Source organism: Homo sapiens, chromosome 7 (assembly GCF_000001405.40).
Source record: "Homo sapiens chromosome 7, GRCh38.p14 Primary Assembly".
Taxonomy (NCBI): Eukaryota; Metazoa; Chordata; class Mammalia; order Primates; family Hominidae; genus Homo; species Homo sapiens.
Window position 1 is genome coordinate 19,597,918 of NC_000007.14, and position 12,633 is coordinate 19,610,550.

Here is a 12,633-nt window from a genome sequence, read left to right on the forward strand (position 1 = left end):
CCCTGGAGTTACTCTTTTTGCTTGCGATGCTTTGGCTATTGAGGCTCTTTTTTGATTCCATATGAATTTTAAAATAGCTTTTTCTAATTCTGCAAAAAATGACATTGGTAATTTGATAGGAATACCAATTAATCAGCAAATTACTTTGGGCAGTATCTCCATTTTAATAATATTGCTTTTTCCAATCCATAAGGATGGAATGTTTTTCCATTTGTTTATGTCACCTATTATTAATTTCAGCAGTGTTTTGTAGTTCTCCTTGTAGAGATATGTTATTTCACCTCCTTGATTAGATGAATTCCTAGGTGTTTTATTTATTTTGTTGCTATTGTAAATGTAATTGCATTCTTGATTTGGCTCTCACTTGAAGATTATTGGTATATAGAAATGTTACTATTTTTTGTACATTGATTTTTTGTATCCTGAAACTTTACTGAAGTATGTTTTCTGTTCCAGGAGCCTTTGGTGGAGTCTTTAAGATTTTATAGGTATAGTATCATATTGTTCATGAAGGGAGATAGTTTGACTTCTTCTTCTCCTATTTTGATGCCCTGTATTTCTTTATCTTGTCTGATTGCCCTGGCAAGAAATTCCAGTACTATGTTGAATAGGAATGAGGACAGTGGGCATCCTTGTCTTGTTCCAGTTCTCAAGGAAAATGCCTCCAGCTTTTGCTCATCCAGTATGACATTGGCTGTGGGTCTGTTATAGACGGTTCTTATTTTTAGTTATGATCCTTCAATGCCTAGTTTATTGAGGGTTTTTGTTATGAAGTGTTATTGGATTTTTTTTTTTTTTTTTTGAGACGGAGTCTGGCTCTGTCGCCCAGGCTGGAGTGCAGTGGCACAATCTCAGCTCACTGCAAGCTCCGCCTCCCGGTTTCATGCAATTCTCCTGCCTCAGCCTCCCGAGTAGCTGGGACTACAGGCACACGGCACTACGACCGGCTAATTTTTTTGTATTTTTAGTAGAGACAGGGTTTCACCGTGTTAGCCAGGATGGTCTTGATCTCCTGAACTCATGATCCTCCCGCCTCGGCCTCCCAAAGTGCTGGGATTACAGGCGTGAGCCACCACCGCGCCCCACCGTGTTATTGGATTTTATCAAAGGCTTTTCCCACATCTGTTGAGATAATTATATGATTTTTGTTTTTAATTATGTTTATGTGATTAATCACATTTATTGACTTACATCTGTTGAATGTACCTTACATCCCAAGAATGAAGCCTACTTGATTGTGGTAAATAGCTTTTTATGTGCTACTGGATTGGGTTTGCTAGTATTTTGTTGAGGGTTTTTGCATCTATGATCATCAGGAATATTGGTTTTGTTTTTGTGTTTGTTTGTTTGTTTGTTATGTTTTTCATTGTTTCTTTGCCAGGATTTGGTATAGGGGTGATGATGGTTTCATAGAATGAGACAATGAGTTAGGGAGGAATCTGTCCTCCTTGATTTTTTGGAATAGTTTCATTAGAATTTGTACCCACTCTTTTTTTGTATATCAAGTATAATTCAGCTATGAATCTGTCTGGTCCAAGGCTGTTTTTGGTTGGTAGGATTTTTCTTACTGACTCAATTTCAGAACTCAATATTAGTCTGTTCAGAGTTTCAGTTTATTCCTGGTTCAATATGGAAAGATTGTGTGTTTCTAGGAATTTATTCATTTTTTCTAGGTTATCGTGTTTATGTGCATAGAGTTACTTATAATAGTCTTAGAGGATCTAATGTATTTTTGTGGGATTGGTTTTAATGTCCTCTGTGTTGTTTCTGCTTATGCTTATTTGGATCTTCTCTCTTTTTTCTTTGTTAATCTAGCTAGTGGTCTATTAATCTTGTTTCCTTTCAAAGGACAGACTTTTGGATTTATTGATTCTTTGTATGGATTTTTGAGTCTCAATTTCATTCACTTCCACTCTGATTTTAGTTATTTCTTTTCTTATAGCTTTGGAGTTTGTCTTTGTTTTTCTAGTTCCTCTAAGTGTGAAGTTAGATTGTTAATTTGAGATCTTTCTAACTTTTTGAGGTAAGCATTTAGTGGAAAAGCATAAACTTTTCTCTTAACACTGCTTTTCCTGTACCTGGGAGACATTGGTATGTTGTATGTCTATTTTCATTTATTTTAAAGAACTTTTTGATCTCTGCCTTAATTTTATTTTTAACCAAAAGTCATTCAGGAGCAAGTTGTTTAATTTCTATGAAATTGTGCTATTTTTGGAGATGTTCTAGGTACTGATTTCTATTTTTATTCCACTATGGTTTGAGAATATGGTTGGTATAATTTCAATATTTTTGAATTTATTGAAACTTTATGGCTGAGCATGTGGTCAGTCTTGGAGTATGTTCTGTATACAAATGTATATTCTGTAAATGTATATTATGTGGTTGTTGGGTGTAGTGTTCTGTAGATGTCTATTGGGTCCAATTGGCCATCTAATTAAGTCCAGAATTTATTTGTGAGTTTTCTGCTTCAATGAACTACCTAATACTGCCAGTGGGGTGTTGATGTTCCCCCACTATTATTGTATGTCTGTCTAAGTCTTTTCCTAAGTCCAGAAGTACTCGTTTTATGAATCTGCGTGCTCCAATGTTGGGTGTGTCTATATTTACAATAGTCAAGTCTTCTGGTTGAATTGAATCTTTTATCATTATTTAATGCCCTTCCTTCTCCTTTGTTGGTTTAAAGTCTCTTTTATCTAACATAATAATAGTGACCCCTGCTCTTTTCTGTTCTCCGTTTATGTGATAGATCTTTCTCCAATCATTTTGTCCTGCATGTGTGTCCTTACCTGTAAGGTGGGGCTCTTAGAGACAGAAGACAGATAGGTCTTTTTTTTTTTTTTTTTTTTTTTTTTTATCCAATTTGAAACTCTGCCTGTAAATGGGGCCTTTAGACCATTTACATTCAAGGTTAATATTGATATGTGACATTTTGATCCTATTGTGAAGTTGTTAGCTGGTTGCTTTGTAGTTTCTATTGTGCGGTTGCTTTATAGGGTCTACGGACTATGTACTTAAGTGTGTTTTATGGTAGCAAGTATCATTCTTTCATATACATGTTTAGAACTTCCCTAAGGAGGGCTGGTCTAATGGTAATAAATTCCCTTATTGCTTGCTTCTCTGGAAAATATTTTATTTTTCCTTTGCTTATGAGGCTTAGTTTAGTGGGATATGTAATTCTCAGTTGGAATGTATTTTCTTTAAGAATGCTGAAAATAGACCTCAATCTCTCCTGACTTGTAAGATTTCTGCTGATAACTCTGCTGTTAGCCTGATAACATTCCCTTTGTACATTTCTGACCTTTTTCTTTAGTTGCCTTTAAGATTTCTTTCTTTATCATTGACCTTGGATAGTTTGATGACTTTATGCCTTGCTGTTGTTCGTTTCATACAGTATCTCACAGGTGTTCTTTGGATTTATTGTATCTGAATGTCAACATCTCTAGCAAGATTAGGGAAATTTTCTTGAAGTATTTCCTAAAATATGTTTTTGAAATTGTTTTTTCTCCTCTCTCAGGATTGCCAACACTTTATAGGCTTGGTCACTTTATAGAATCTCATATTTCTTGAAGACTTTTCATTTTTTTAATGCTTTATTCTTATTCTTTTTTTTTGTCTGACTGAATTAGTTTGAAAGACGTGCCTTCAAGCTCTGAAATACTTTCTTCTGCTTTGTCCACTCTATTGATAACAGTTTCACTGATATTTTGAAATTCCTTAAATGAGTTTTTCTATTCCAAAATCTCCAATTGCTTTTTTTTAAAGCTATATATCAGTTTATTCATTTCCTGATGGAGACCTAGTATGATCCTTTTTTTTTTTTCAGGTATTACATGGTGCCACAATTCTTGCACTGGTTCCTTTTCATCTGGATATGCTGGCCCTTCTAATTTTGGTAATTATTTTTGTGCGAGGAGAATTTGTTTCTTTCAGTATATTTTTTCCTTTACCTTTCACCCCACCCCCTCCCTTGGGGGTGTGACCTTAGAGAACGTTGATTAGAGTTTTTTGGCTTTGCTTTTATAGCCTTATTCAGGTTTTTCAGCAGGTTTTATATTAGGCTGTATGGTTCAACCTGCAAGTCAATATATAACATTTATGGGTAATAGCCAGCTGAAGCCAACATGGCTAGGTATGTACTTGATTCTTGTTTACCAGGTAGAACTATCTGTTGTCTCAGGCCACAGGCTGATCTGTGGTTTGCACAGAAGTCTGAGCTCCCTGTTCAGCCCAAGGGAGTGGGGCTCAAGATGGCAAGGGTTAGACCGGGCAGGACCACCTACATATTCCCTCATGGCAAGCACAAGCACCAGTGCTGAGAGAGAATCCAGTGGGTGTGCTACCAATCACTCAGAATTATGTCTAGGCATAGAGCTGGGCAACCTACTTAGTTTTCAGTTCTTTGCACAGGTAGTTGGGTGGCCTAAACTGCTATTCCAGGAGGGTAGGCACTCTAGATGCCTGGAGATCTGCCTGAGGGTGGAGTGCAGAGGGCCACAGTGCATCAAAATCTCTGCACAGAAAAAATAGGTGGCACAGGCTACTCATTCAGGCAGGTGGGTGCTCTGAATCACTAGAGATCTGCCTGGGCATGGAGTAGAAAAGGCCCTGGTGCACCGCAGTTTCTATGCAGGAAAGGTAGCGCAGCTCAGGCTGTGAATCTTGTGAGCAGGTGCTCTGAATGCCTGGAGATCTGCAAGGGCGTGAAGAAGAGAAGGCCCCTCTCCCAACCCTGGCGCCAGGATCTCTGCACAGGAATTGTGGGGCAAGCTGGTCCTTTGAATACCCAAAGATCTGCCTGGGCATGAAGCAGATTGGACCAAACTGCACAATGATCTGTGCACTGGAAGGGTGGGGCTGCTTATCCAGGTGAGCAGGTACTCTGAATGTCTGGAGATCTGCAAGGGCATGAAGAAGAGAGGGACCCTCACCCCACCCTGGATCCAGGATCTCTGCACAGGAATTGTAGGGCAAGCCAGTCCTTTGAATGCCTGAAGATTTGCCTGGGCATGGAGCGGAGTGGACCCCACTGCACAATGATCTATGCACAGGAAGAGTGGGGTGGCTCCAGCTGCTTATCCAAGTAAGCAGATACTCTGCATGCCTGGAGATCTGCCTGGCCATGGAGCAGAAAGGGCTCTACCACACCATGATATATGTCTAGGATGGGTGGAGTGGCTAAGGCTGCTGAACTAGGAAAGTAGTTGCTCTGAATGCCTGGATATCTTCCTGGTCATGTAGTGGAGAGCACCCCACTGCACCACGATGTATGCACACGAAGAGTGGGGTGGCTCAGGCTGCTGATCCAGGTGAGAGTGTGCTGCCAATGCCTAGAGATCTCCTTTTATCACCTGGATACCATCACAGGGGCTCTTTGTCCCTGTTGTTCTCCCTGAGATCTGGGATATCTTCATGATTCTGGTGGATTCGTGTCTTTCTTCTTAAATTAAAACTCAAAAGTTGATCTTCATGTACAATCTTGTTATTTCCAACTGGCTGAGACACACAAAAAGTCTTGACTCCACCATTTTTTAGGGAAAAGCTGTTTTTCATTTAATTCAATGACCACTCAAGAATCATGCATTTTATTTGTGATGTCTGTAATCTTCTATAATCTAGAAGACATCAGCATTTTTTATGTCTTTCTTGAAACTGATATTTTTGAAGAATCAAGGTCAGATTGACACATATTTTGGCCTTGTTAGGTAATTTCCTAGTAAGCAGAAACATTTTTGGCAGAAATTTTATGTTAGTAATATTTGGTCTTTCCCAATTTATCACATTGGGAGTACATGATATCACTCTTCGCCATAACTGTTTATGTTAAGTTTGATTAGTTAAGATACGATTTCTTCATGGTAAAGATTTACTTAGCATTTTATAATTGATAAATACAGTTTCTTCAACGTTTATTAGTCTGTCTTCTTTAAAAAATCATTTACTCAAATTTTCCCTTCCCAATTCATCTATTTTAAAATCAGTATCGATTTGTAGATTTTTTGTGTGTGTAATTCTATTTCTGTAAGTATTTATTTTGAAGCAAAAAATTGTCCCAAATTTGGCCAGTGAAAGACTCTTAATGCCGGTTTCCTCAGGATATGTCTCTGTTAGTTCTCCAGGTTCTTCTTATTTCCTGGCACAACGGGATAGTTGAGGGTCACACTATAACCTTCCTGCTCTCGATCTGGAATCAGCCTTTTCTCCAAGGAGCTCTTGTTCCTTTTAGTGTAAAATGATATGTCAAAAGTGATATTGGTAAGCTAGGAATTATTATTGCTACTAGGGTGCCATTTTGTTAGATCCTTTTTGTAGACAGATACTCCCAATTCCAATTCTAGCACCACAATATGTTTCTTCTTTTTCTCCTATTCCATAATTGTATTTTTTCTTCTACAGCAAAAAAATCCTAATATATTAACAATATCAATATATAATAACTTATTTTCTCAATTCTACAATAAATACAAAATAGTGTTGGAATTTCTGTGTTAGTACCACTGCAAATAATAAACCTAATAAGGAAAGCTCAAGATACCTTAATGTTTTTTGTCCTTAGAATATATACCATTGGAATTATACAGTTAAATTATCATATGAAAAACTTATTTGGATAAATTTTAGTCTTTCTATCTAAGTGAATATGTTATCTCCTTGATACATAGTTATAGGCCGTTTCTGTTTATATTGAATTTTAGGATTTCTTCCCTTTGTTGAAATAGTTTTATTTTTTGCTTATGTAAAATATTAACATGTTTCAAAATCCAATTTCCTTCCCAATCTCTTTCTCTGGATTCTTAATCACTTCTTGTAAGTAAACAATTTTATCAGTGGCTAATTTATCCTTACTGCATGTCTTCTTGAAAAATGAGCATACAGTGATGATAGATATCTAGAAGTAAATATGCAGACATACATATGAGCTTGTGTTCACACAAAAGGTAGTGTTCAATAGATGCCCTTTCCCTGTTGCTTCTGTTTATCTAATGTATACATCCTATGAAATTTCTCAATATCAGTTCATAGACATATTCCTCACTTTTTAAATAATGTATTAGCCTTCCATTATAGGAAATTACCATAGTTTATTCTATCATTCCCATATATATAGACTTTTAGTTCATTTTCAATATTTTTATATTGTAAGTAATGCTGCCATGAATAAGCTTCAACATATGTTTTTGTATTTGGGAGGATATATCATCAGGTTAAGTTACTAAACATGGAATTGCTGGACAAAAACTAAATATGAACATCTTTTCATATGTTTGAGTTATTTACATATAACTCCTTGTGAATTTTGTCTTTATGTGCTTTGCTCAGTTTTCTAATGGATTTTGGCCCTTTTATCTCTAAATTTTTGAAGAGTCCTTTACCATTTATAGTGGTTCTGAGAGTAAATTTGCTATACCTTGGTATATTATAAGGTATGTCCAAGCAATGTGATATTGAAAATAACTTAAATTTGCAGGTTATTTTTCTTCTTTTAAAATAAATGTGAGGATCCTGGGAAGATGGCAGAGTAGGAACAACCATGAATCTGTATCCCTACCTAGACAACAATTGCACTGGCAGTACCTGTCTGGTATAATTATTTTGAAACTCTGGAGCTATTGAAGTCTTGCAACTTTTAGGAGAAGGCTTGGATGGTAAAATGCAGTTAATTTTTATCAGTCTCAGCTGTTAGTATAATATAAGCTTCCTATCCCCCACCCCCAGCCAGGGGCAGCCAGCTGTGCACGCTTCTGTGAGCAACTTGCCACAGCTTGCAGGAGTAAGTGTGGGCAAAAAGCACCCTGTCTTTCAGTATTAGGGATTGGTGCTATGATCATCGATTGCTCCCTCTGATCACAGAGGTGCAAATAAAAAGGTGGATAACCATTGTTATGGCACCATCCACCAGCAGTGAAAGTGCTTCTCCCTCAGCTATAGTGACTTCCAGAGTATTTAAACGGCTGGGGCCCTTTCCCCTCCTTCTTTTCATTTTTCTCTTTTCCCCCTTTTAGAAGTCAGATCTTAAAGACTAGGACACTCAAAAACAACTGCATATAGGAGAAAAATTGGAAAGTACTGAGCATGCTCAGGAAAAGGCACAAGCTCAAAAAGACTTGAGAAGACCTTAAGGGTCTCAGACTGATTCTCAGTACAGAGACAGTTTGCAAATATTTTTCTAAAATACAAAAACAATATAAAACAACAGCAAATAGCAAACCAGGAGAGAAGAATCGAATTTCCAGGTACCACATTATTAGATTCAAATATCCCATTTTCAACCAAACAATCATAAGGCATATAAAAATTCAGGAAAGTAATACTTATTCAAAGGAAATGAATAAATCAGCAGAAACTGTCATTCAAAAGCACCCAATGACAGAACTAACTTACATAAATTTTAAAACAACTGTCTTCAAGAGGTTCAAAGAACTAAAGGAAAATGTGGAAATATAGAACTTAAACAGCACAATAAACCAACTAGATGTAAAAGACATATGCAGAACACTCTCTTTAACAACATCATACACATTCTTTTCAAGTGCAGAGGGGACATTCTCCAGGCCAAAAGTTAAGTCACAGTATATTTCAAAATACCTGTCATACAAAGTATCTTCTCTGACCACAATAAGATAAACCTAGAAGTCAAAAACAGAAGTAAAACTGGAAACTTTACAAATTGTGAAAATAAAACAGCAAACTCTTAAGCAACCAATGGATCAAAGAAAAACCATAAGGCACATAAGGAAATAGTTAAAGATGAATTAAAACACAACATACCAAAACTTAATAGGACTTAGTGAAAGCAGTACTAATGGAGAAATTTATAAATACTTACATTAAAAAAACAAGAAAGATCCTAAGTCAACAATTTAACTTTACACCTTAAGGAACTAGAAAAAGAGAACAAACTAAGCCCAGAGCTAGCAGAAGTAAGAAATAATAAAAAGTAGAACATAGATAAATGAAATAAATAATAGAAAAAATAGAATCACTAAAGCCAAAAGGTGGTTCTTTGAAAAGATGAATAGAGTCGACAAGCCTTTAACTAGCTAGACTAAGAAAAAGAGTTAAGAGGACTCAAATTACTAAAATTAGAAATAAAAGTGCAGATGTTACTACTGATTCTACAGCACAATAAATGATTCTAGGAGAGTTCTATGAACAATTGCTTGTCAAAAAATTGGATAACCTAGATGAAATGGACAAATTTTTAGAAACATAAAACCTGTAAAACTAAATCATCAAGAAATAAAATACCTGAATAAACTTCTATAGCGAGTAAGAAGATTGAATTAATATAAGTTCAGTAATCAAAAACTGTTATAAATGATAAATGAATTCAGCAAAATAGCAGGACAAAAAGTTAACATGCAAAAACTAGGTGCATTAATATACACTAACATAACTAATATGAAAAGGAAATTATAAAATAATTCAATTTACAATCATTTCAGAAAGAATAAAATATTTAGGGATTAATCTAACCAAGTAGGTGAAAGACGTGTACAATGAAAACTAGAAAACATTGGTAAAAGAAATTGTTGACATAAAAAAATGAAAACATCCCATGACCATAGATTGGAAGGCTTAATAGTGTTAAGATATCAATACTACCCAAAGAAATCTATAGATTCAATACAGTAATAAATTCCCAATAATGTTTATTTGTAAAAATAGAAAAACTCATCTTAACATGTATATGAAATTTCAAAGGAAACTGGGTAGCCAAAATAGTCTTGAAAAAAAGAACAAAGCTGGAGAACTCACACTTTCTGATTTCAGAACTTACTGCAAAGCTATGGTAATCAACACAGTATGGTGTAGGTACAAATACAGACTAGTGAAATGGAGAGCCCACAAATAAACCCTCACATATATTGTCAAATGATTTTTGACATGACTGTCAAGAGCATCCACTGGGTAAAGGACAGTTTTCAATAAATGGTGCTGAGAAAACTGGATATTAACAAGCAAAGGAATAAAGTTGGAACTTTATATAACAACATATACAAAAATTAAATGGATCAAAAACATAAATATAAGACTAAAAGAAATAAAACTGTTAGAAGAAAACATAGAGCACAGGCTTTACAGCATTGGATTTGGCAATGATTTCTTGGATATGAGACCAAAGGCACAGGCAACAAAAGAAAAAATACACAAATTAAACTTCCTAAAAAAATAATTTGTGCCTCGAAAGACACTATCAACAGAGTAAAAAGAAAACCCACAGAATGAAAGAAAATATTTGTAAATCATACATCTAAAGAATTAATATCCAGAATATGTAGAGAACTCCTAACATTCAATAACAACAACAACAATAACAAAATGCAAAAATGGGCAAAGTACTTGGGTACACATCTCTCCGAAGAAGATATGCACATGGCCTATAAGCACATAAAAAGATGCTCAAAATCACTAATCATTAGGGAAATGCAAATCAAAACTGCATTGAGATACCACCTCACACAGACTACAATGGCTACTATAAAAAATAGTAAAAATAAGTGTTGATGAGGATGTGGAGAAATTCGTACACTTGTGTAGTGCTGGTTGGAATGGAAAATAGTGTAGTTGCTGTGAAAAACAGTATAGTGAGTGGTTCTTCAAAAAATTATGAATAGAATTACCATATGATCCAGCATCTTCACTTCTGTGTATATACCTAAAAGAATTGAAAGCAGGGTCTTGAAAATACATTTGCATATCCATATTCATAGTAGCATAACTCACAATTGCAAAAATGTGGAAACAACCCTAGTGTCCTTCAGTGGATGAAAGAGTAAACAAATGTGGTATATCCATACAATGAAATGTTATTCAGCCTTTAAAAAAGTAACTTCTGCAATCTGCCATAATATGAATGAACCTTGAGGACATTATGGCAGTGAAATAAGCAAGTCACAAAAAAGCAAATATTGTATGAGTCCACTTATATGAATTACCTGGAGTTGTCAAAATCATAGACATAGAAAGTAGAATAGTGATTGTCAGGGATGAGGAAGAGGGAGAAATGGAGACTTATTATTTGATAGGTATAGAGTTTCAGTTTTACAAGATGAAAAGTGTTGTGGAGTTGGATGGTGGTGATGGCTATACAACGATATGGATGTATTTAATATCACTGAACTGTACACTTACGAGTGATTAAGATGGTAAATTTTATATTATGTATATTTTACCACAATATAAAAAATTAGAGAAAAAAAGAAATGGTGGGGAACAAAACTAAAAGAGGGCTTAAAATTAAATAAAGGAATATGATATGTATCTCTTCACAAAAAAGAGAAGCAAATATAAGATAATTTCCATAATAATATTATTCTTCATTGGTTGCTTTCCTATCTAGCTTGTTGGATAAAAAGGAATGAACAGGAGCTCACCAGCCATCAGAGAATTGCAGCTAACCCTAGGTAAGCCTATTGGAACAAATCCTATGGTCAAAGATATATTTCTCATATAATGAGAAACAAAACTACAGTTGAACAGTTGTGTTAGAAATAATCCATGTAGCACTTTGAAATGTGTCCATTTATATTTGGTTTATATGACGCACCAGCCTCTACACAGTATTACAAATATACTGCTTATCAACGTCAAAGTGACTAGAATGACTAGAACACTGCCTCCATAGAAACTTTCTTTTTTTTATTATTATTATACTTTAAGTTTTAGGGTACATGTGCATGGACACAGGAAGGGGAACATCATAGAAACTTGCTGTCGTACCTCATTACAGTACAGATTATCTACCTTTACTTTCCTATAATTCCCTAGAGCACACCTCTCTCATTTTCCCTGTATTTTCTAAATTTATGGAATACATACAGCTTGGAAATCTTTATGATTATCAGTCTATTGTTCTAACTTTTAATTATCTGAATCATAATATATGGGTTCTCTAATATATATTTTTATATTATACTGTATATATAATATTAGTAGCAGCAGCCAGCTTGCTTGCTTGTATCCTTCCTCCTTCCTTTTTTCTTTCCTTCCTCCCTCCTGACCTTCCTTACCTTCCTCCCTCTGTTCCTTCTTCCTCTTTTCCTCCCTCTCCCCCTTTCTTACGTTTCTGTAACATGTTATAATGTCTTTCTGGCTCTAGGATTGTGCCATATAATGCCTTTCTCCATCATAGCTTCCTCGTTTCAGAGATATTTTGTCTGCGAATATGTGAAATAAATGTCACATTCCAGATTGGCAGAATAAATGAGTATTCTTAGAACTTGGCAATTGGGTGCTACGGATCCTATTTAATACTCCTACATATTTGTCTTATTTGTTACTACATGTTAGTGATTCAGTGTTAAAGCCTGAATTTTTATACAGGCTGAAGGTTTAGGTTTATGTGTTTGGTTTTTTTTTTTCCTTTTGGAATTGGCTGGTAGATTATTTACTGCTAAAAACACCAACTCAATTAAAATAGATATCAATGCATCAGGGCTGTATATCACATGCTTGTAAACTGTTATGTGCAGACCTCAGCAATTTATAACTCCTGCCTAAGTACTAATACACTGCTAAAAGACATTATCATCATTAATTTTGCTTTTTTCTTTTTGCTGCTATTCAAAGTCATCCCCATTTTGATTTAAAATTAAATAAGTCACTTCATGACATACATAATTACTTATATCT

General features: G+C 35.2%; 1 long non-coding RNA gene across 1 annotated transcript in view; it reads left to right on the forward strand.

Moving 5' to 3' along the window:
• LOC105375180 (uncharacterized) overlaps positions 1–12,633 on the forward strand; it is a 93,261-nt gene that overhangs the window by 21,627 nt on the left and 59,001 nt on the right. Inside the window, exon 4 of the long non-coding RNA XR_007060245.1 lies at positions 11,342–11,405. This is a non-coding gene — a long non-coding RNA (uncharacterized LOC105375180). The remainder of the gene's footprint in view (positions 1–11,341; positions 11,406–12,633) is intronic.